Source organism: Homo sapiens, chromosome 2 (assembly GCF_000001405.40).
Source record: "Homo sapiens chromosome 2, GRCh38.p14 Primary Assembly".
Taxonomy (NCBI): Eukaryota; Metazoa; Chordata; class Mammalia; order Primates; family Hominidae; genus Homo; species Homo sapiens.
This window is the reverse complement of record NC_000002.12, coordinates 30,852,986-30,878,831: the sequence shown is the minus strand read 5'-3', so window position 1 is coordinate 30,878,831 and position 25,846 is coordinate 30,852,986. Positions and strand designations below refer to the sequence as shown.

Below are 25,846 nucleotides of genomic sequence, written 5' to 3'. Positions count from 1 at the left end.
AGACACCACCTTGAAGTGATTTTTAACTCCATATTTATGTTCATGATTTATGTGCAAATGTTCTATTAGGCTATCCTCTGTGTTCTGTTTCAAGCGTGAAATAGAAGCTATTTTACCAGCTAGTTTAAATAGGCTGTGATCAGAACAGACGCAGAAATGAGCTCATCAGCTACAGTTTATAGATTGATAAGAAAATATGAATAGAAAAGATGAATAGAAAGGGTGGAGGATATAAAACAGGCAATTCATAAAAGAAGAAAAAATACTAATGGTGTTACTGAAAGGTGTTTGCTTTCCATGGTAGGGTAGCTTGTTTTAGACTAACCATTCTGCAGGTAGCATTATAAACTCTGGGCAAGCAGACAAAAAAAACCACCCGAAGGCACTGAAAAGTGATTAAAAACAGGCAGAAACCGGAAAAGAAGTAACCCTTGGAAGAAGGAAGCTGGGCAGGTGAGATTCACATTTATACAGCTTTTCACCCAATAGCATCTGTCTTTTATCCCCAGTCTAGGATACACAACATAGAGAGGCTAAAACTCAACCAGAAAGCCACAATTTTATAAGCTTGAGGAGTTAAAGAACAGATTTCAGGCCTGCCAAGAAGATGGAAATTTAGAAGGTAAATCTTGGAAAAGAGGAAGCCAAAAAAGGGCAGAGACCCAAAATATTCTTATAAATCCTGTCCAAATTCTTAATTGACTAGGAGTGCACATGTGTGAGGGAGACTCCAAGCAGCCCAGGTGAAAAGTTTAAAAAACTAGCAGTGAAACCGGTTGATATCCACTTCAAGAAAGAGAGTTTGGAATTTGAACTGAGTCATATTAATTGTATGCTGCAACAAAATTCAATACGTGAGAGAGCAAGATAATAAACCAGAGTTTCTGCAGCATGGCATCCACAGTATCTGAGGTAAAATTAAAGGGTATTAGACATGAAGAAACAGGTATGGGGACACATAGTCAATAGAAAAAATGAAATAAAACAGGCAATGGAAACTGATTCCAGTTGTTGGAATAGCAAAAAAGGACTTAAAACAGTTATTGTAAATCTCTACAGGAACGTAAAAGAAAATATACAGATAATGAATGAAAAGATATGAAACCTCAGCAGACATAAGAGGACTATCTAAAAAAAAAGAACCAAATGGAATATCAGAATAAAAATAGAATAACTGAAATGAGAAACTTACTGGCTGGACTTAATAGAATATTGTAAATTAATTAAGAAAGCTTTAGTAAATTTGAAGTTAGTTCAGTATAAATAATCCATGCTAAAGAATAGGGAGAAAAGGATTGAAAAATATGAACAGAGCCTCAGAAATCTGTAGAATAATATAAAGCAGTGAAACAACATAACACAGTGTGTGTAAATGAAATGCAGAAAAGGAGAAAAAGAATGAGACAAAAATATTTGAAGAAATAATGGCTGAATATTTTCTAAATTTGATACAAACATAAATTTACAGATCCACAAAGCTCAGTGAATCTCAAGCAGACTAAATAAAAAGGAAAATAAAAACTACATCTAGTCACATCATGGTAAAACAAAGATGAAAAGGAAATTTTGAAAGCAGCCAAAGGAAAGTGAAACATTACATATGGGGGAACAAATGTTACGAATGAAGGCTGACTCCTCTGCAGAAACAATGGAGGCCAGAAGACAAATAAACACCATCTTAAAAGTGCTGAAAGGTAAAATTATCAAACCAAACTTCTCTACCAGCAACATAGTCCCTCAAAAATTAAGATGTAAAAATATTTTCGGATCAATGGAATTGAGAGAATTTATCATGAACAAACATGCTACAAAATATGCTAAAGGAAGTGCTGAAGGACAATGACTCACGATGGAAACTTAACTCTGGAGAGGAATAAAGAGCACGAGAGACAGTAAATTGGAGGATAAAGACTTTTTTCCCGATATTGATTCTTCCTATCCATGAGCATGGAATATATTTCCATTTGTATGTGGCCTATCTAGTTTCTTTTAGCAGAGGTTTGTAGTTCTCCTTGAACAGGTCTTTCATTTCCATTGTTAACTGTATTCCTAGGTATTTTATTCTCATAGTAGCAATTCTGAATAGGAGTCCATTCATGATTTGGCTCTCCACTTGCCTGCTGTTGGTGTATAGGAATGCTTGTGACTTCTGCACATTGATTTTGTATCCTGAGACTTTGCTGAAGTTGCTAATCAGCTTAAGAAGCTTTTGGGCTGAGACAATGGGGTTTTCCAGATATAGGATCATGTCATCTGCAAACAAAGACATTTTGACTTTCTCCCTTCCTATTTGAATACATTTCTTTCTCTTGCCTGATTGCCCTGGACAGAGCTTCCAATACTAAGTTGAATAGGAGTGGTGAGAGAGGGCATCCTTGTCTTGTGCCGGTCTTCAAGGCGAATGCTTCCAGCTTTTGCCCATTCAATATTATATTGGCTGTGGATTTGTCATAAATGGCTCTTATTATTTTAGGTATGTTCCTTCAGTACCTACTTTATTGAGAGTTTTTAAGGTGAAGGGATATCAAATTTTATCAAAGGCCTTTTCTGTATCTATTGAGATAATCATGTGGTTTTTATCTTTAGATCTGTTTATGTGATGAATTACATTTATTGATTTGAGTATGTTGAACCAGCCTTGTATCCCAGGAATGAAGCCATCTTGAACATGGCAGATAAGCTTTTTGATGTGCTACTGGATTCAGTTTGCCAGTATTTTATTGAGAATTTTTGCATCAATGTTCATCAGAGATATTGGCCTGAAGTTTTCTTTTGTTGTTGTATCTGCCAGGTTTTGGTTTCAGGATGATGCTGGCCTCATAGAATGAGTTAGGGAGGAGTCCCTCCTTTTCGATTGTTTGGAATAGTTTCAGAAGAAATGGTATCAGCTCCTCTTTGTTTTTTTGGTAGAATTCAGCTGTAAATCCATCTGGTCCTGGGCTTTTTTTGGTTGGTAGGCTATTTATTACTGCCCCAATTTCAGAACTTGTTATTGGTCTATTCAGGGATTCAACTTCTTCCTGGTTCAGTCTTGGGAGGGTGTATGTGTCCAGGAATTTATCCATTTCTTCTAGATTTTCTAATTTATTTGCATAGAGCTGTTTAAAGTATTCTCTGATGGTTGTTTGCATCTGTGGGGTAGGTGGTGATATCCCCTCTAACATTTTTTATTGTGTCTATTTGATTCTTCTCTCTTTTCTTCTTTATTAGTCTAGCTAGCAGCCTATGTATTTTATGAATTTTTTTAAAAAACCAGCTCCTGGATTCATTGATTTTTGGAAGGGTTATTTATGTCTCTATCTCCTTCAGTTCCACTCTGATCTTGGTTATTCATTGTCTTCTGCTAGCTTTGGGGTTTGTTTGCTCTTGGTTTTCCAGTTCTTTTAGTTATGATGCTAGGGTGTCGAATAGAGATATTTCCAGCTTTTTGATGTGGGCATTTAGTGCTATAAATTTCCCTCTTAACACTCTACCAGACTTCAAACTATACTATAAGGCTACTATAACCAAAACAGCATGGTACTGATACAAAAAAAAAGACATATAGACCAATGGAACAGAATAGAGAACGCAGAAATAAGATTGTACATCCACAACCATCTGATCTTTGACAAATCTGACAAAAACAAGCAGTGGAGAAAGGACTCCCTATTCAACAAATGGTGTTGGGATAACTGGCTATCCATTTGCAGAAAATTAAAACTGGACCCCTTTCTCCCACCTTATACAAAAATTAACTCAAGATGGATTAAATGCTTAAATGTAAAACCCCAAACCATAAAAACCCTAGAAGAAAATCTAAGCCAATACCATTCAGGACATAGGCAAGGGCAAAAATTTCACAATGAAATTGCCGAAAGCAATTGCAACAGGAGCAAAAATGGATAAATGGGATCTAATTAAACTAAAGAGCTTCTGCACAGCAAAAGAAACTATCATCAGAGTGAACAGGCAACCTACATAGTGGGAGAAAATTTTTGCAATTTATCCATCCAACAAAAGTCTAATATCCAGAATTTACAAGGAACTCAAACAAATTTACCAGAAATAAACAAACAACCCCATTAAAAATGGGCAAAGGACATGAACAGACACTTCTCAAAAGAAGACATTCATGCAGCCAACAAACATAGGAAAAAAAGTTCAACATCACTCATCATTAGAGAAATGTAAATCAAAACCACAATGAGATACCATCTCACCCGAGTCAGAATGGCCATTATTAAAAAGTCAAGAAACAACAGATGCTGGTGAGGTTGCGGAGAAACAGGAACACTTTTACACTGTGGTGGGTGTGTAAATTAGTTCAACCATTATGGAAGAGGATGTGGCGATTCTTCAAAGAGCTAGAACCAGAAATATCATTTGACCCAGCAATCTCATTACTGGATATATACCCAAGGAATAGAAATCATTCTGTTACAAAGATACATGTGCACATATGTTCTTTGCAGCACTATTCACAATAGCAAGGATATGGAATCAACAGAAATGCCAACAAACTTGATAAATTCGATGAAATGGATGAATTTGTTTGAAAAATATAACTTACCAAAACTGACATCAATGAAATAGAAAATCTGAATAGTTCTTTATCTATTAGAGACATTAAATTTATCCAAAACCTTTCCACAAAAAGTTCAATACAGATGGTTTCACTGTTGAATTTTATCAAAATTAAGACACATATAATGCCAATCTTACACAAATAGAGGAGGAACATGCCCCACTACAATTTTTGAGATCACCATAAGCCTGATACAAAAATCTGACAAAAGTATTGACAAGAAAATAAAATTACAAACCAATATCCCTCATGAACACATATACAAAAATCAAAAACAAATATTAGCAAGTCAAATCCTGCAAAAAAGATAATCCATCATGAGTAAGTAGAGTTTATCCCAGGAATTCAAGATTGTTTCAACATTTGAAAATCAGTGTAATTCACCACATTAACAGAATAAAGAAGAAAACTAATGTGATCATTTTGATAGATGCAGAAAAAATATTTGACAAAATGAAACGCCCAAAATGAAACTTCCTCAATTGAATAAAAGGCATGGTTCAAAAACTTATGGTTCACCTTGTACTTAATAGTGAACATTGGATGCTTATTAAGCAAGCGTGTGTTGCTTACAAAGGGTGCTTTCTCAGTAAAATCCCAGTTGGTCATGGGACAGTTGTTAGGTTAATTATGTAAGATTATGGGAAAAATGTTCTAAATTTATGTTCTCAGGCTACAATGTTTGCCTCCTCCTCAAACTGAAGAAAAATATGGTATGGAAAAATTCCACATAGATGTTATTGGAGAGAAACATTATTCATTGGCCCAGTTAATTTCTGGGAACCACTATATTCAATGAGATTCCTTAACCAGAATATAAAACATGGATGCTTTTTATTCCAGAACATCCACTTCTAGGTTTCTATCCCACAGAAATAGTAATATTTTATACAAAGATGATCATTGCAGCGTTATCTGTAATGGCGAAAAACTGGACATAAACTTAATTTTCTCAGTTGATTGTTGGCAATCCTCCCACCTCAGCCTCCCTAATAGCTGGGAATACAGGTGCACACCACCATGCCTGGCTAGTTCTTTGTACTTTTTGTAGAGAGGGGGTTTTGTAGAGACTCCTGGACTCAAGCAATACACCTGCCTCAGCCTTTCAAAGTGCTGGGATTACAGGTGTGAGCCATTGTGCCTGGCCTCAATTTTCAAAAGGATGATGAGTGTAGGCTTCCTTAAGAAGCAGACATTTGAGCAAACATTTGAAGGAGATGAGGGTGTGAGCTATGCAAACATGTGGGCAAAGAGTGTTCTAAGCAGAAAAATCAGCCCAAGCAAAGACTCTGAGCTCCAGGGAGGGGGCCGGAAGACTGAGGGGAATAAGCAGAGTAGAAGATGAGGTCAGAGAGGGACCAAGGGACCGGGTCTTGGGAGGCCTTTTAAGCCATTGCAAGCTTTGGCTTTTACTCTATGAAATGGGAAGCAATTGAGGGTTGAAGTGTAGGAGTGTCATGATCTGACCTGCATTTTAGGAAGCTCACTCTGGCTCTGACTGAAGATAGGTTAAGGGGAAAGCAGATGCCAATTAGGAGGATATTGCAATAATTCACACATGGACAGAGTCATATTCCCATTTTAAAATCAGGAAAATGAAACTCAACAGGATTATCTGGATTATAATCACATAGCTAATAGGTAGCTGAGTGGGATTTTAATCTAAATCTGTCTGACTCCAAGTCCAGGGCTCTTTTGCCCAGAAAGGAAAATTGGGCTCAGAGTTATGCTGGGGGTTACTTTATCATTACTGTTCTCACACCTGGGGAGCCCTCACCTCTGGCTTCAGGTCATGCCCCAGTCAGCTCTCTCCTTTTGTCTTAGTTTATTTGTGTTGCCATAAAGGAATGCCCGAGGCTGGGTAATGTATAAAGAAAAGAGGTTTATTTAGCTCATGTTCTGCAGACTGTAGGAGAAGCATGGCACCCACATTTGCATTTGCAGAGGGCCTCAGGCTGTCTGCACTCACAGCGGAAGGCAAAGGAGAGCCAGTGTTTGCAGATCACACGGTGAGAGAGGAGGCAAGAGAGACAGGAGGGAGGTGCCAGGCTGTTTTTAACAATCAGTTCTGGCAGGAACTAAAAGAGCAAGAACTCAGTCATGGAAAACACCGCAAAGCCATTCATGAGGGATTAACCCCCGTGACTCAAACACTTCCCATTAGGCCCCACCTACAAAACCGGGGATCCAATTTCAACATGAGAGTTGGAGGGGTCAAGTACCCAAACCATAGCACCTTGCAACTCTCCTGCCCCCACTGTCAGCTGAGCTGTGAAAACAGAACTGAAGTAGGCACTTTACCAGTGTTAGAAACACCATTTGACATCCTAATGTTGGTTTCAAGTATTTTCCAAGCCCTTAAAACAGCCTGGGGTTGCAAGTAACAACCATTGTAGTATAAGCTGGAGAAACTGAGGCACTGTCAAGTCAAGAAGTCACTCCAAAGTCATGCAAGTTGGAGGTGGTACCTCCTTTTTCCCTTCCCCTGGCCCATTTAGCATCTCCCACCTCCTGGTCTGCGCACAAGGTGTTAAACTGACGCTGCACTCAGTCCCCAGTAGCTCAGTTCCCAAAAGGGTGTCTGTGCCCCCAGGCAAGGGTGAGTGCTGCAGCAATCCAACAAAGCTACATTGAGTAATTGTTATTTTCCTGCACAACATCCATCAAGAGACTAGCCCTGGCATTTATCTAGCAGCAAGTGATCATTATCTGGTGGCAATGTTCTTCCCACTGACAGTATCTTCTAAATAAGGGTCAGCCATCCAGCGGTCTGTCTGCTGCTGATTTCTTCCTATAGGATAAACAATATTTAAACTAAGGCAGTGTCGGGGGTGGGGGCACTGTGGGGAGGGGCGCCAGGGGGACAGAGACAGTGGTTAGGGAAGGTGGTTGTTCCACAGTTGAGCCAGAGAATTGGCCTGAGCTTTGATTCCGACAAATACTTGTTGAATGAATGTTTCAGAATATATGAAAGACACAATAACAAAGAGAATCCACATTTCCACTTCAGCAAACCTTCCTACATTAATATAATACACCATGCAGTAAATTAACTGGATGGTGAAGTTTTGAGCATTCTGGAGGTAAAAGAAAAGTCTCTTACATCTCTTGGTCTCTGTTGCTGGTCTTCCTACCCTTAGACCAGAATCTGGAATGGGTTCGAGTGAAGACACTCGAACTGTCATCAAAGTAGCCAAGGTCCTGGCATCAGGAGACCCGGGTGCAAGTTTAGGCTCCCCCACTTTCTGGATTCTGGACCTCAGGCAAGTCTCTAACCTTCCCTGAGCATTGATATGCTCATCTGCGAATGAGAATGATAATAATCCCTTTCTCACAGTATTATTTGAGGATGAATGGAAATAATATATAAGAAAATGCCATTTGGACCATGGGATACTCTCCACATGTAAGTTACTCATGTTCTTGTTCAAGTTTTGGGCATTTTGTTTACGTTGTTAAGGTCGTTTGCTCTGTGCCATTTACCCAGAAGTGAAATTGCTTGCAAGACTCTAAGTCTTGCTGACTTAGAATCTGACCTTCTTTCTGTTGCTTTACCTCTTTTGGTCTTAGATTAAAAACCATAGTCTGAGCAAGGAGTCCATGCATAATAGAGAGTCCTATACGGTCATGACTATCCTGGGCTGCTGGGGACTCAAGAGGAATATATAATTTGGCCTGTGTGGCCTCATGGGTTTTATAAGGTGCACACTTAGAAAAATCGAGCCCAAGAAAAGCCAATGGACAATTCCAAGCAACTCCATAGCTGGACCATATTTATTGAGGGCCTGACGTGCCGAACTGTGCCAGCTGCTTCCACATCATCATGTTATTTAACAATTCTGAGTAGAGCATGCTCTTATTTTACAGCTGGAAAATCTAAAATCTGGAGAGGCTGAATGACTGACTCAAGATCACAAGAGAGTGATGAGGGCTACATCTATTTATTTCCAAATCCAGGGTCCTCTCTCCTCTTCCAATTAGAGTATAACCTGGTGCTTTCACCTTTCAAGAAGTGAATATCTCTGACTCACATCCTAGGCAGCTGAGGCTCTGGGAGGTTCCTGATCATTAAACTTCACTCTGCCCCTAGAGGCCTTGCTACCACTGAGTGTTAGGACTATAGACTCCACTTGAGAGACTTGGCTATTTAAAACCCAGGAGAAAATGCAAATCAAAACCACAAGGAGTTACCATTTCATGGCCATCAGGATGTCTATTGAAAAAAAAAAGAAAGAAAAAATAACAAGTGTCGGTGAGGGATGTGGAGAAATTAGAACCCTCGTCCATTGCTGATAGGAATGTAAAATGTTGCAGCCCCTGTGGAAAAGTTTGGGATTCCTCAGAGTTAAACTTAGTTAACATATGATCCAGCAATTTCACTTCTGGGTATATACCCAAAAGAATTAAGAGCAGGGACTTGAACAGACTTTTATATACCCATGTTCAGAGCAGCATTATTCAACATAACGAAAAAGTGAAAGCAATGTAAGTGCCTATTGATGGATGAATGAATAAGCAAAATGTAGTATTACATACAGTGGAATATTATTCAGCTTTGAAAAGGAAGGACATTTTGACACATTCCACAGCATGGATGAACCTTGAGAACATTATGCTAAGTGTAATAAATTGGACAAAAGAACATATATTGCATGATTTCACTTATGTGAAGTCATGTGAATACTCAAGTAGAGTAGTCAAATTCATAGCGACAGAAAGCAGAATGGAGGTTACCAGGAAATGAAGGAAGGGGAAAATGGGAGTTATTGTTTAATGGATACAGATTCCTGTTTGGAATGATGAAAAGTTCTGGAAATGAATAGTGGTGAGGTTTGCACAACACTGTGAGTGTACTTCATGCCACTAAATTAAACATTTAAAATGGTTAATTTTACATTATGCATATTTTACTATAATTAAAAATAAATATAAAACCCAAAAAATTTCAGAGAAATTCTTCACTTGAAGAAAAGGAGTATGCTAGAGAAAGGTTTCTTTCTCTAGTGACTCCTGGACAATTATAATGCTTGTTTAGAAATAATTAACTGGTCATCAAAGAAGGGGGCAGCCAGAGATTCTCAGGAGATGTCAAGCAAAGAGAAACAGCATGGCAATATTTGTCTTTCTTTCTTCCTTCCTTTCTTTTTTCTTTCTTCCTTCCTTCCTTCCTTCCTTCCTTCCTTCTTTCTTTCTTCCTTCCTTTCTTTCTTTCTCTTTATTTATTTTTTGATGCAGTTTTGCTCTTGTTGCCCAGGCTGGAATGCAATGGTGCGATCTTGGCTCACTGCAACCTCCGCCTCTCCGGTTCAAGCAATTCTCCTGCCTCAGCCTCCCAGGTAGCTGGGATTACAGGTGCCCACAACCACACCTGGCCAATTTTTCTATTTTTAGTAGAGATGGGGTTTTGCCATGTTGGCCAAGCTGGTCTTGAACTCCTGACCTCAGGTGATGTACCCACCTCTGCCTTTCTTTTTTTTTTTTTTTTTTTTTTTTTTGAGACGGAGTCTCGCTCTGTCGCCCAGGCTGGAGTGCAGTGGCGGGATCTCGGCTCACTGCAAGCTCCGCCTCCCGGGTTCACGCCATTCTCCTGCCTCAGCCTCCCAAGTAGCTGGGACTACAGGCGCCCGCCACTACGCCCGGCTAATTTTTTGTATTTTTAGTAGAGACGGGGTTTCACCGTTTTTTAGCCGGGATGGTCTCGATCTCCTGACCTCGTGATCCGCCCGCCTCGGCCTCCCAAAGTGCTGGGATTACAGGCGTGAGCCACCGCGCCCGGCCCCACCTCTGCCTTTCAAAGTGCTGGGATTACAGGCATGAGCCACCGCTCCCAGCCAATATTAATGTAAGTCAATAACAAAAGAGGATTTGACATATAAAAACTTGGTTTCTATGCAACTTTATTTGGAGCCCACCTATTGCCCAATGCAAACAAATCCTTCAGTATTCAAGGGAGTTAAAGAAAACAGTAGAATTTGACCATAGGTCCTTTAAGTCATTCAATGATGAACATTTATGACACATGTTTCTTAGGCTTTTAAAAGGCAATGTTCTGTGCTGATGGTCCACCTGGCTGTAAAGATAATTGTAAAACAAACTCCATATTCCACTGACACCCTTTCTAATTACATCTCACCTTCATTAGGCTATTAAAGTGATAGATAGTAGCAATTACATTGAACCCCACTGAAAACTCTCTATCTGTGATGCGCAGTGACGAGAACATGAGTTATTTACCCAGAAGCCAGGAAAGAGAGGCAGCCAGGCTGAGGCTGCCTCAGCCAAGCTGAAGAAAGAGAAACCCCATGCGACCATCCAGGTGCCTACAGCAATGTCAGGACGCAGAATGGCAGGGTACACACGTGGTTCTTGCTTTCCTACTGGCCTCGCCCGATGCCTAGATGTGAAAAACAGCAACTGTTATCAGGTATTATGTAAACTGACTTAAAACAAGTTTACATATACTCAGAAGAGAGCCTCCAAAATACTGAATTACTCCCAGGCATTTCATATAAGGAATAGTTGAAGGAGTCAAAGAAGTTGAACCTGGAGAAGATAAGACAGGGCAGCAGAGGGTGGCATCTACAGACACTCCGAGATGAATTAGACTTGTTATGGCCCAAGGGGAAATGAGTCAATTACTGCAGACAACAGAAAACCCTACTCTAATTTGTTTAAACAACTAGAACATTTACTAATTTGCATAACTGGCGGTCCAGATGTAGATGGTTGATTCAGGGACTCAATGATATACTCTAGGTCTCAGGTTCTTTTCGTTCCTCTACTCCACTGTGCATAGTACCGGCTTTTTCCTAAATTGGTTACTCTAGAATGCTTATGGCTACTGCCAGCAGCCATAAGGGTAACACATTCTCTTGTTCACTCCCAGTAGGGAAGCAAGAATTGTCTTTCCATGACTCTCAAAAGAATGAGGAAAGATCTTTGAAGCTCTCGGCAAACATCTCTGATCACATCTGACTGACTGGAACTGGGTCACGTGCCCGTTTCTGAGGTAATCATTGTGGTTAGGAGGATGGGATAACTATGGTTGGTGAAGACTGATCGTGACCCAACGTGGAGTTGCTGCAGGTCAGCTTCTGATGAGATCTCATGGGGAAATAGTGGCAGTGGTAACCTGAGCAATATTGGGCTCTGCTGGGAAGGAAGAAAAGGGAACTGATATTTGACAAGACCACCAACAGTAGCTGCTATAGGGAAAAAAAAGAACTAGTAAGTGGGAGCAGAACTGACTCACAGGAAGAGGAGCCTCTAGCACTAGAGGGCAGATATGCTGGGCCTGTTCCACAGCAGTCCCCTAGGATACTAATGGCAGACATACTCATTAATCAATCACTCTCTACCACTGACCCTGGATGCAGCCTCAGAATCCACCTTAACTTAGTCTTCCAGGCAGTCAATAACAATAAATTAGAGACAGGTCTCAAAAGAATCCCTTTCATCCTGCTGCTCGAACAGCTAGGACTGCTCAAAGCATAGAATGGGTAGATTTAGAAGGCAGTAGATAGAATGGGTAGATTTAGAAGGCAGTAGATAGAATGGGTAGATTTAGAAGGCAGTAGATAGAATGGGTAGATTTAGAAGGCAGTAGGTAGAATGGGTAGATTTAGAAGGCAGTAGGAGTTCGGTCACCAGTGGCGTCCAAGCACAGGCTACATGACCTGTGCACAGAGATGCTGTCATGGGGATTTGGTCGCAGGTGAAGGTTGGGACCCAACTAACCGTCCATGAGATTCTGTGGTTTCAGATGGCTTGGGGAGGAAGCTGAGGTTTAAAGCAAGCTTTAGATTCACAATAGAGGAAGTTTTGAGAGCGCTGTCCTAGTCCTTTGCTTTTTCTCCAGGGTCCTGAAAATGCAGATTTCTCACATGGGATATAATACCCTAGGCATTTCCAGTTATCTGCAGCCCTTCTAGTCTCAAAATATCAATGCTTTTGCCTAGGTTTTCATTTGTGCAAACACTTTCATTTTAGCTTTAAAAATTTGATTCTCATTAACACACACACACACAAGAAATAGAGACCATGGTCATTTTACGGTTTCATGAACCTGAAAAGTTGGTTATCTTGCCTAAGATCACACAGCTAAGTGAAAGCCAGGGCTGACACAGGAACTCAGATCCAATCTGCTGTAGCCCGGAACCCTGCTCCGGAAGCACAGGGCTGCAGCACTGAGGTGTCCTCCCTTGGGCATGCACATGACAGAGACACATCCAGCACCGATATGGGCAAGAAGGGCCAAACAGGCCCCAGCATATGAAACACAGTCCTCATGAGCCACGGACCATGCTGACTCCTGCAGGAGGCCTGAGTAGCAGGGTCTCTGGCTGTGGGAGGGTCTTCTATCCTTCCTGGACTTCCCTTGCTCCATCCCCTGCCTCACCTACATGGTCTAAATATGAGATGCTAGCATGGCTAAGATGTTACAGGGCTAAGATAAAATGTGGAGGCAGTTCCTCCAGCTTCTCCCTTCAGAATAGACATTCCAGGTTCACCTGAGCAGACTGCGAGACTCCGTGGCTGCTTCTCTCCTTTGGTTCCCAGAGCCAGGAACCTCACTGGGCCAGAGTGAGAGTAGGGAGTGGCCTGGGATTAGAGCCACATCTCCTGGGCCCATCTACTGAGTGTACTTCCAGCTTATTGCCTGGACACACAGCTTCTATCTCCCTGCTCTGTTTATTCTCTAAGCCATTTTCAGCTTGTAAAAATGTATAAAAGACCAGCAAAGTGTGAAGGAAGCACTTGAAAGGAGTTCTCTGAAAGGAGCTTTTTATCCCCAGTGGCTTCTGACAGCCCAGTTAGCACATTAAGTACCTTCTCTTTGCCGGGCCCAGTGGAAAGCACTGAATGTATATTATGTGGGTGGTTCTTGCTGGCAGCACTGTGCACATTGGTGTGTTTCTATCAACTCTGAGGGATGCTGCTAGAAATGTGGCAGAACCTGTCTTTGTTGTTCACAATGTACAGCACAATCTAAACTTAGTATTCACAAAATAATTAGAAGACAGACCAAACGAATGATTTAACCCATTTTTATAGGTGAGTAAACCAAAGCTTGTGATCCTTACTGGACAGAAAAAGGTATTTAGGAGTTACAGCAGAGGTGGGACTGGAGCTTAGTTCTTCTGCATCCCAGTGTGCAGAAGGGCAAGACTGCAGATCCCAGGTTTGGGGGCAAGACTAGACAATTTCAAAGAGCCCTTTGTGCTCTCTAAAATTTGGAGACTCAGATTCTGAATTAGCAAATTAGTCTGTAGGCCAGCACTGTCCAGCAAAGCTGTCTGTGAAGACGGAAACGTTGCATGCCTGCACAGTCCAATACAGTAGCCACTAGCCGCATATGGCTAACAAGCACTTGGACCATGGCTAGTGTGACCAAGGAGTTGCATTTCCACCATATTGGACAGCACAGCTCTGGTGTTTTCCCTTCCCCAAGGCTCAGCACTGCAACCTCTGCCACGCACTGATGCACTGAAGTTTGCACTCAGCAATGGCACCTGGGGACACTTTCCTATATCCCTTGGTAAAACACACCAGGTTCCCTCAAATACACCACTTATTCTTCAGTGAAATTCTACAGAAGTGGGAGGAAAACAAAATTGAAAGAGCTGAAGCAGAAACACTATTGATTTTTAATCCTTTTTTATCATCCAAGAATTTCAAGGTATATTTCTCATGTCATTCCATTCCTCTCCTGGGAGCTGAGAGAAACTGACCCAGAAGTCTTGGATAGCATCTAGTTGTGAATTAAACACATTCTGAAGAAAATCTCTCTAGTCAACATCATTTTTTCTCAGTGAAATGTTTGGATCTTTAATAACTATTATTTTCCTTTGGGTTCTTGCCAGGAGATGATTTTTTTAAATAGACTAAACCATTAATCTATTAACTAGTAATTTAATTTATAGTCCTTCATTCTTCTAAATTGTTTTCTCATCACATAATAGAACCATGGCACATCTGAGTTGGAAGAGAGCTTAGGCAATTTCCAGGCCATAAAATTGATGGGGATGAAACACTTACTGCTTATTTAAACATGTGCCAACAACTGGAGCATGTTCTTTATAATCATAATTGTAGTTATTACCATGATCCTATGGAGTGGGTAAAATTCTCCCCATCATACAGATGGAAAAGTAGCTGAACTAGAATTTATATGGAGGTCTATCTGGCTGTGAAGCTGAGAAGACTCTTCTGTTCTCTAAGCTTACTAGTTATTTCACAGACAAGGAAACAGAGACCTACAGAGCTGTAATCGCTACAGCAGCCAGGCTTGACTTCTGTCCCTGCCTCATATTTCTGCTCCATTAAATTCTACTTTTTTTTTTGAGATGGAGTTTCTCTCTTGTTGCCCAGGCTGGAGTGCAATGGCACAATCTCAGCTCACTGCTGCAACCTCCACCTCCCAGGTTCAAGCGATTCTCCTCCTCAGCCTCCTGAGTAGCTGAGATTACAGGCGTGTGCCACCACGCCTGGCTAATTTTTTGTATTTTTAGTAGAAATGGGGTTTCACCATGTTAGCCAGGCTGGTCTCGAACTCCTGACCTCAGGTGATCTGCCCACCTTGGCCTCCCAAAGTGCTGGGATTACAGGCATGGGTCACTGCTCCCGGCCTTTGAGCCATTAAATTCTATCTTTTGACCTCAGATTTACAGTCCCACACTTGGCTTGTACATCACCTTCCTTTCCTCTTTAGCAACACCTTACTCCCCAGAAAACAAAACAAAACAAAAAAATCAAAAGGCCTGCACTTGTCATTCAAGCCCCTGCATGATTTGGTATTGACCTTCTCTGAACCAATCCTCCTCCCTGGGGAGGAGTCTCAGCAAGCCCACTGTTTGTATTCTATGTTTTTAGAATTTAGCTTTTTTTAGGAGGGCTGTGATTTAAAAATATATACAAATAAATTATGTTCCTGTATGCCAACAACGGTATTTCAGCATTAAACACAAAGATGTTTATTGCACCAACATACCTTACAGTGAAAAGTAAAACCAAGCTATGTGGCCAACCACAATGGAAGTGTTAAGAATAAAGCAGTTCTATTCTTTAAGTTAGTATTATATAAAGCTGCTAAAATGGGGTAAGAACCCATGGCATGGGAATGTTTGACTCCCCACAGTAGGAATAGCTAAAGGAAAATAGAGTCTATTTCTCCAAGGCCCCCTGGGCAAAAATAATAATAATGTAGATTAATCAAGCTTCACATTAATTTATAAAGTTTCCAGTTCTTGACAGCTCTTCCTTGAAGCCGTCCCTGATAGCAGCTGACAGAGTGCAAAACATAATGGGCCTGGAATCAGAAACCATTAATTCAAAGCCCAGCTGGGCCACTGGGACTTCAATGTGCCCACCTGTGAAGTGGGGCAGATCCTGTTCAGTGTAGGGAGCTGTGCTGAACATAATGGTAGCTGGTGGCATCCCCACTACTGGGTTTCTCCTAATGATCTTTTGATGAAGGGGCAGTAGCATTAGGGGCTTTTTTGCAAGCATAGAGAGAATGAGGGCAGCTTCACTCCAGTGCCCTGGCAGAAAAGTGGGTGAATCACTGCCCTGTTTGAGCTTGCAGATCCACCAGCTTCTTCCTTAACTTGAATCAAACTGATTTGCTGGCCAGATGTGGTGCCTCACACCCGTAAGCCCAGCGCTTTGGGAGGCCAAGGCATGAGGATAATTTGAGGCTGGGAACTCAAGACCAGCCTGGGCAATACAGCAAAAAGTTGTCTCTACAAAAATAAAAATTAAAAAAAAAACTACCCAGGTGTGGTGGCATACACCTGCAGTCCCAGCTACTCAGGAGGCTGAGGTGGAAGAATTGCTTGGGTTCAGGAGGTTGAGGCTGCAGTGAGCCTTGATTGCACCACTGCATTCCAGCCTGGGCAACAGAACAAGACTCTGCCTAAAAATAAATAAATAAATAAATAAAATTTAAAAATATATCTATTTATTGATTTGCAGCAATCTGTCCACACGGTGGCAGGAGTGAAGAGGCAGAAACCTACTGCCATGGGCTCCCCCTGGAGTCCTGCCATATTCATGGCTTCTGCTGAACCAAAATATTAGAATTAGGCCTAATAGCAATGATGGTAACATCCACATGCACCTCTGGGGTTTCTCATGCTTTAGCAACCATTTAAAGGACCATTTTCAGCTCTGGTAAACAAACAAGACAATTACTATTTCCACAGGATGTTGCTACCACCAAATGCTCTTACAATATTTAGTTGAACTGGACGTGCTGGTGGAAACCACTGGGGAAAGACTTCAGCTCTGTGTTGAAACACTCAACCTGGGAATTTGTCCTCCAGGGCCACATAGAAGCTGGATAAGTATCTGAGTATCTGAGTTTGCTTTCTTAAGCCCTTCACTTAGAATCCTGTAAAATGGCTAAGAACAGTGGCTCTCAAACTTTTTAAGCAGCAGAATGTTTTTCTCTCAAATGAAATCTCATCTGGAACTTGATACATATCAAACAGGTAAATGGTAATTACTTTTTATGCATTTAAAAAGTAATTTCTAATGACTAGAAATTTTTACAAAGTCAATCAGTGACAATGAGGTTGTTTTAACAGAAAACATTAAGTCAGGGATCGTGGATGACAGTTGCATTTTTTTGGCATACACTTCAGCATCTGACTTCTATCTGTATTTTATTTTGGTTGCATTACATGAATAATGGACAATCATATTTCAACACTGCTCTGAGTGCTTCAAACATGTCAACTCATTTAATTCATAACTCTCTGAGACACTATTATTCCCAGGTGAGTAAAGGGAGGCCCAAATAGCTAGATACGTGGCCCAAAGTCACAGAGCAAGCTAGAGCTGGGCTTCAAACCTAGGCAGCCTAGTCCCATAGTCTATGAACTGAATAATGATTTTCTTTTGCTGCTTCAATTAAAAGCCTACTATATATATGTAGTTGTAATTAATAACTTTTTAATTGCCTGCCTTGCAAGCTCAGACTATTCTTTAATTAAACTTGGAAAGCAGAAGAGGTTTCATTCCAAGCTCCAAGCAAAAAAATAAATTAAAAAAAAAACCTAACATCAAAAGCACCCGCATTAGGGTTTCAGGGAACAATTTGAAAATTCCTGACCTACAGCATGAGGGACATCTTGAAGGGCCAATCCGCCTGTCAAAACCCACGTGTGAAGGATCCTCAGGGGGTAGTAGAGACAAAAAACATTGGCTGGCATTTTACCAAATGGAAATCTCTAGTCTCTGGCACTACCAATATTCCCCATTACAAATCTTCCAGCTGGTAAACAGAATGATGCCACTGACATTTAATTGAAATGTCAGCACATTTAGAAAGAGCCCTGATGAAACTGCCAAGTTAAAGTTATCGCTGATGACTTAAGCTAAATAGAAACAGAAAATCACCATGAATATCCCCCACTTCCCACCCCTGCACTATAATATCAGACGGAGAGAAAGCAGAGAGCTCAGCTGTCCAAGAAAAATTTACAGATAGTTTTTAAATGGAGTTTTATTCTAGCTATGAAAAACTATGGGGTAATTGGAAAACACTTGTGAAAGTAATCAGGTCTGAGACAGGCCAATGCCCACGTAAATCAATTCAACAAGCATACATTGATTAAATTGCCTTTGGATAGTAATATTGCCTTACATTTATTTGCATAGTTTACAGTTTATAGAGGCTGTGGTAGATGGCAGAAATGGCCCAATTCTTCACCACTCTCTGATCCTCACCTTATGCCACTGTAACTTTGTCACACGATCTCACTCTGTTGCTGGGCTTAACCATGTGATTTGTTTTAGCCAATGGGATGTTAGGAGATGTGCCATTGCAGAGGCTAAAAAAGCACTTGTGTGTTTCCACTCATCCTTGCCCTATATTTCGCCATTAGAAAACATGCCCATGGAATAGAACCAAGGCATCCCATTGTTCCAGCCAATGGCCATCCTAGGTCAGCAATAGATAGGTAGCTCACTTCCAGGCATGCACGCGAGCCCAGCCCGTATCAGCAGACACAATTAGTTGACCTGCAGCTGAGCACAATCACATGTGCAAGTAGAGTTAGGAGCAGCCAAGCTCAGATCAGCTGAAGCCCAGTCTCATGAGCTAATTCAGTGAGTCCTCTTGGATGCCACTGTGGTTTTGAGGGTTTTGTTCAGCATCATGAATGTGACAACAGATGTCTGGTGAAGAGACTTGCCTTGAACAGCCTCCTTTGTCCCCTCCTTGGGAAGCAATGTGGGACAGGGCTTACTTCTCCCGTCTTATAGATAAGAACATTGTGCTTCATACAGGTTCAGTGGACAGCCTTGATTCCCACAGCTGCTGCTTCCCGGGCCCATTCTCTGCTCATGTGTAAGTCATGAAGTGTCTCTGAAATACTTAGCCAACAGCATTAACCTAGCAGCTGAATCCCTTTTTTTTTTCTTTCAGATCAAAACAGCAGGTTTTATAAGTTGAAAGCACAGAGGGAGAGCACGAGTCTCAGAAGTCTCTGGGCCCAAAAGGCAGGAGCTTCACAGCATTTGGCTCTGCAGACTCCCTCCTGTGCATGCTCACCCTGGGACACCTCCCTCCTGGCCTGGTTCCACTCTGCTTTGAAGAGATAGGTGATCCAGGCCATTGTCAGAGATGGGGTTCTCTTGCTGTCTCTCTGGCTGATTCCACGCACAGGCGTTCTTCAAATGCTGCTAGGTAGGAAAACCATGGGGAAGTTATGATGGAATGATCAAAAATAAATTTTCTGTTCTTGCAACAACTCACCTTAAAAATCCACTTACCTTTTAATTTCCCTTACTGAAGCCCAGACTCACATAAGATCCTTTACAATCTGGGTTGACCTACATTTATTTCAGTGTTACCACTGCCGTCTGCCCCTGCAACGTTCTCTGTTTCAAAATCAGAAACGTTTATCTCTTCCTGGAGCATTTTGAATTTTTGTTCATACTCATACTCCTTATTCTGTTTAGCGTTCTCTTCTCTTCCTTTTCCTCACCTGGTGGACCCCTATTCTTTCCTGTATGATTACACTCGCTTCTCTAAAATGCTTTAAAGAGGCACTTGCTTTGTGTGTCTGTTCACGTGTTTGTTCTGTCAGTCTGAGTCGGGAAAGCGTCGTGCGGCTGGCCTGGCTGCCAAGACCTGGGGCAGCCTAGTTCACAGAGCCCCCTTGGAAATCTGTGGGGAAAGTTGAGACTTCTTTCTACTGTTGGTTTGTGCCCAAGTTAAATGTGAAACATGATGGGTCCCAAAGTAGTGTGCTTTAGAAGTTCAGAGGGAGGCCAGGTGCGGTGGCTCATGCCTGTAATCCCAGCACTTTGGGAGGCCGAGAGGGGCGGATCACGAGGTCAGGAGATGGAGACCATCCTGGCTAACACGGTGAAACCCCGTCTCTACTAAAAATACAAAAAAAAAAAAAATTAGCCAGGCGTGGTGGCGGGCGCCTGTAGTCCCAGCTACTTGGGAGGCTGAGGCAGGAGAATGGTGTGAACCTGGGAGGCAGAGCTTGCAGTGAGCCGAGATCACACCACTGCACTCCAGCCTGGGCGACAGAGCAAGACTCCGTCTCAAAAAAAAAAAAAAAGAGGGAGGCCAGGTGCGGTGGCTCACGTCTGTAATCCCAGCACTTTGGTAGGCTGAAGCGGGTGGATCACTGAAGGTCAGGAGTTCAAGACCAGCCTGGCCAACATAGTGAAACCCCATCTCTACTAAAGTACAAAAATTAGTTGGGTATGGTGGTGTGCACCTGTAATCCCAGCTACTTGGGAGGCTGAGGCATGAGAATATCTTGAACCCAGGAGATGCAGATTGCAGTGAGCTGAGATCGCACCAGTGCACTCCAGCCTGGGTGACAAAATGAGACACTCTCTCAAAAAAAAAAAAAGTTTAGAGGGCGACACAGGGTCACTTCCTTTTAGAAACAGGTAGGTCTGAACAGACCCATTCACTTTAAGTGAGTCTTTTAATGTCGGTTTTTCTTTTCTTTTTAAAAATTTTTTGTTGGTATATAGTAGGTGTATATATCTATGGGGTACATGAGCTCTTTTGATACAGGCATGCAATGTGTAAGAATCACATCAGGATAAATGGGGTATCCATCACCTCAAGCATTTATCATGTCTTTGCTTATAAACATTAAATTATACTCCTTTAGTTATTTTTAAAGACACAATAAATTGTTGCCTGTAATCACCTTGTTGTGCTATCAAATACTAGATCTTATTCATTCTATATAACTATAGTTTTGTACCCATTAACCACCCCCATTCCCCCCCAACTTCCCTTCCCAGCCTCTGATAACCAGCACTCTACTCTCTAGCTCCTTGAGTTCATTTGTTTTAATTTTTAGCTCCCACAAATAAGTGAGAACATGTGAAGTTTGTCTTCCTATATCTGGCTTATTTCACATAACATAATGTCCTCCAGTCCCATCCATGTTGTTGCAAATGACAGAATATCATTCTTTTTTATGGCTGAATAGTACTCCGTTGTGCATATGTACCACATTTTCTTCATTCATCTATTGATATGGACACTTAGGTTGCTTCCAAATCCTGACACTGTGATAAATATGGGAGTGCAGATGTCTCTTCAATATACTGATTTCCTTTCTTTGGGGTATATACTTAGCAGTGGGATTGCTGAATCATATGGTAATTCTATGTTTAGTTCTTTGAGGAACCTCCATACTGTTCTCCATAGTGGCTGTACTAATTTACCTTCTGACCAACAGTGTATGAGGGTCTCCTTTTTTCCATATCCTTCCCAGATTCATTATTACCTGTCTTTTGGACAAAAGCCATTTCAACTGGAGGGAGATGGTATCTCATTGTAGTTTTGATTTGCATTTCTCTGATGATCAATGATGTTGGGCACCTTTTCATATGTCTGTTTGCCATCTATATGTCTTCCTTTAAGAAATGTCATCAGGCACAGTGGCTCACAGCTGTAATCCCAGCAATTTGGGAGGCTGAGGTGGGTGGATCACCTGAAGTCAGGAGTTCAAGACCAGCCTGGCCAACATGGTGAAACCCCATCTCTACTAAAAATACAAAAATTAGCTGAGTGTGGTGGCAGGTGCCTGTAATCCCAGCTTCCCAGCTACTCAGGAGACTGAGGCAGGAGAATCGCTTGAACTCAGGAGGCAGAGGCTGCAGTGAGCCGAGATTGCGCCACGGCACTCCAGCCTGGGTGACAGAGCAGGACTTCATCTCAAAAAAAGAAAGAAAGGAAGAAATGTCTATTCAGATATTTTACCCGTGTCTTAATCAGATTATGAGATTTTTTTCCTGTTGAATTGAGTTCCAACCAAAATACATATTTTGGTTATTAATCTTTTGTCAGATGGATAGTTTGCAAATATTTTGTCCCATTCTGTGGGTTGTCTCTTCATTTTGTTGTTTTCTTCCTTTGCTGTGCAGAAGCTTTTTAACTTAATGTGATCTCCTTTGTCCATTTTTGCTTTGCTTGCCTGTGCTTATGGGGTATTACTCAAGAAATCTATACCCATACCAATGTCCTGGAGAGCTTACCCAATGTTTTCTTTTAGTAATTTTATAGTTTGAGATTGCAGATTTAAGTATTTAATCCATTTTGATTTGATTTTTGTATATGATGAGAGGTAGTCTAGTTTCATTCTTCTGCATATGGATATCCGGTTTTCCCGGCATTATTTACTGACGAGACTGTGCTTTCCCCAGTGTAGATTCTCGGTATGTTTGTAAAAAATTAATTCACTGTAGATGTATGGATTTATTTCTGGGTTCTCTGTTATGTTTCATTGGTCTCTGTGTCTGTTTTTATGCTAGTACCATGCTGGGTTTTGGTTACAGTGGCTCTGTAGTATCATTTGAAGTCAAGTAATGTGACTCCTCCAGTTTTGTTATTTTTGCTCAGGATGGCTTTGGCAATTCTGGGTCTTTTGTATTTCCATATATATTTTAGGATTATTTTTTCTATTTTTGTAAAGAATGTCATTAATATTTGGATAGGCATTGCTTTGAATCTGTAGATTGCTTTGGGTAGTGCGAACACTTAAAGAATATTATTTCTTCTCATCCATGAACATGGAATATCTTTTCATTCTTTTGTGTCTTCTACAATTCCTTGCATCAGTGTTTTATGGTTTTCATTGTAGACATCTTTCACTTCTTTGATTAAGTTTATTCCTAGGTATTTTATTTTGTTCATAGCTATTGTAAATGGGATTACTTTCTTGATTTCTTTTTCAGATTCTTCACTGTTGGCATGTAGAAATGCTGCTGGTTTTTATATGTTGATTTTGTATCCTGTAACTTTACCAAATTTGTTTATCAGTTCTAATGATTTATAGTAGAATTTTTAGTTTTTTCTAGATGTAAGATCATACTATCTGCCAACAAGGATAATTTGGCTTTTTACTTTCCAATTTGGATGCTCTTTATTTTTTTTCTCTAGCTAGGACGTCCAGCACTATGTTAAATAAACAGTGGTGAAAATGGGCATCCTTGTCTTGTTCCAGATATTAGAGGAAAGGTTTTTCTTCATTCAGTATGATACTAGCTGCAGGTCTTCGTTTTAGAAACAGGTAAATCTGAACAGACTCATTCACTTTAAGTGAGTCTTTTTTCTGGCTTTTATTGTGTTGAGGTATGTTCCTACTATACCCAGTTTTTTGAGGATTTTTATCATGAGAGGATGCTGAATTTTATTACATGCTTTTTCAGCATCAGTTGAAATGGTCATATGGTTTTTGCTCTTCAATCTGTTGATACAATATATCACAGTGATTGATTTGCATATGTTGAGCCATCCTTGCATCTCTGGGATAAATCCCACTTGATCATGACAAATGACCTTTTTAATATGTTGTTGAATTCGGTTTGCTAGCATTTTGTTGAGAATTTTTGCATCAGTGTTCATCAGGGATATTGGTCTGTAGTTTTCTTTTTTTGATGTGTCTTTGTCTGGTTTTAGTATCAGGGTAATACTGACCTCATAGAATGAGTTTTGAAGCGTTCCTTCCCCATCTATTATTCAGAATAATTTGAGTAGAATTGGTTTAGTTCTTCCTTAAGTGGTTTGGTAAAATTCAGCAGGGAAGCCATTGAGTCTGGGGCTTTTCTTTGCTGGGAGACTTTTTATTGTGGCTTTGATCTGTTACCTGTTGTTGGTCTATTTAGGTTTTGAATTTCTTCATCGTTTAATCTTGGTAGGTTGCATGTGTTTAGGAATTTATCCATTTCTTCTAGATTTAATGATTTATTGGCATATAGTTACTCATAGTAGTCTCTAATAATCCTTTGATTTTCTGTGGTATCAGTTGTAATGTTGTATTGTCTCCTTTTTCATCTTTGAATTTATTTACTTGGGTATACTCTCTTTATTCTCAGCCTGGCTAAAGGTTTGTCAATTTTATCTTTTAAAAAAACTAACTTTTCATTTAGTTGATCTTTTGTACTTTTTATTTCAATTTCATTTATTTTTGCTCTGATCTTTATTATTTCTTCTACTAATTTTGGGTTTGGTTTGCTCTTGCTTTTCTACTTCCTCAAGATGCACAATTAGGTTATTTATTTGAAGTTTTTCTCCTCTTCTGATATAGGTACTTATTGCTATAAACTTTCCACTTAGTACTGCTTTTGCTGTATCCCATAGGTTTTGGTATATTGTGTTTCCATTTTCATTTGTTTCAAGAAATTTTTAAATTTCCTTATTAATTTCTTCATTGACTCACTTGTCATTCAGGAGCAAGCATATTGTTTAATTACCATGTGTTTTTATAGTTTCCAAAGTTCCTCTTGTTACTGATTTCTAGTTTTATTCTATTATGTTCAGATAAGATATTTGGTCTGATTTCAATTTTTAAAAATAGTTTGAGACTTGTTTTGTAACCTAATGTATGGTCTGTCCTTGAGAATGATTCATGTGCTGAGGAGAAGAATGTATTCTGCAGTCATTGGATGAATTGTTCTGTAAATATCTGTTAGGTCCATTTTGTGTGTAGTGCAGATTAAGTCCAATGTTTGTTCATTGATTATCTTTTATATATATATATATATATTTTAAACTATACTTTAAGTTCTAGGGTATATGTGCACAACGTGCAGGTTTGTTACATATGTATACATGTGCCATGTTGGTGTGCCGCACCCGTTAACTCGTCATTTACATTAGGTGTATCTCCTAATGCTATCCCTCCCCATTCCCCCCACCCCACAACAAGCCCCAGTGTGTGATGTTCCCCTTCCTGTGTCCAAGTGTTCTCATTGTTCAATTCCCACCTATGAGTGAGAACATGCGGTGTTTGGTTTTTTTGTCCTTGCGATAGTTTGCTGAGAATGATGGTTTCCAGCTTCATCCATGTCCCTACAAAGAACATGAACTCATTTTTTATGGCTGCATAGTATTCCATGGCGTATATGTGCCACATTTTCTTAATCCAGTCTATCATTGTTGGACATTTGGGTTGGTTGCAAGTCTTTGCTATTGTGAGTAGTGCCACAGTAAACATACGTGTGCATGTGTCTTTGTAGCAGCATGATTTATATTCCTTTAGGTATATACCCAGTAATGGAATTGCGGGGTCAAATGGTATTTCTAGTTCCACATCCCTGAGGAATCGCCACACTGTCTTCCACAATGGTTGAACTAGTTTACAGTCCCACCAACAGTGTAAAAGTGTTCCTATTTCTCCACATCCTCTCCAGCACCTGTTGTTTCCTGACTTTTTAATGATCGCCATTCTAACAGGTGTGAGATGGTATCTCATTGTGGTTTTGATTTGCATTTCTCTGATTGCCAGTGATGATGATCATTTTTTCATGTGTCTGTTGGCTGCATAAATGTCTTCTTTTGAGAAGTGTCTGTTCATATCCTTCACCCACTTGTTGATGGGGTTGTTTGTTTTTTTCTTGTAAATTTTTTTAAGTTCTTTGTAGATTCTGGATATTAGCCCTTTGTCAGATGAGTAGATTGCAAAAATTTTCTCCCATTCTGTAGGTTGCCTGTTCACTCTGATGGTAGTTTCTTTTGCTGTGCAGAAGCTCTTTAGTTTAATTAGATCCCATTTGTCAATTTTGGCTTTTGTTGCCATTGCTTTTGGTGTTTTAGACATGAAGTCCTTGCCCATGCCTATGTCCTGAATGGTATTGCCTAGGTTTTCTTCTAGGGTTTTTATGGTTTTAGGTCTAACATTTAAGTCTTTAATCCATCTTGAATTAATTTTTGTATAAGGTGTAAGGAAGGGATCCAGTTTCAGCTTTCTACATATGGCTAGCCAGTTTTGCCAGCACCATTTATTA

At 40.4% G+C, this 25,846-nt stretch overlaps 1 long non-coding RNA gene across 1 annotated transcript in view, besides 1 other annotated feature; it reads left to right on the top strand.

The window, feature by feature from the left end:
* LOC124905982 (uncharacterized) overlaps window positions 1–25,846 on the top strand; it is a 69,911-nt gene that overhangs the window by 275 nt on the left and 43,790 nt on the right. The window contains exons 2-3 of the long non-coding RNA XR_007086268.1: window positions 11,454–11,576; window positions 16,771–19,259. This is a non-coding gene — a long non-coding RNA (uncharacterized LOC124905982). The remainder of the gene's footprint in view (window positions 1–11,453; window positions 11,577–16,770; window positions 19,260–25,846) is intronic.
* Window positions 6,428–6,929: an enhancer, noted in NCBI's record as "NANOG hESC enhancer chr2:31094769-31095270 (GRCh37/hg19 assembly coordinates)". NCBI's record gives its function as "activates a minimal SCP1, AML or CMV promoter by ChIP-STARR-seq in naive H9 embryonic stem cells {active_cell/tissue: H9 hESC(naive)}" and the evidence as "EXISTENCE:reporter gene assay evidence [ECO:0000049][PMID:30033119]".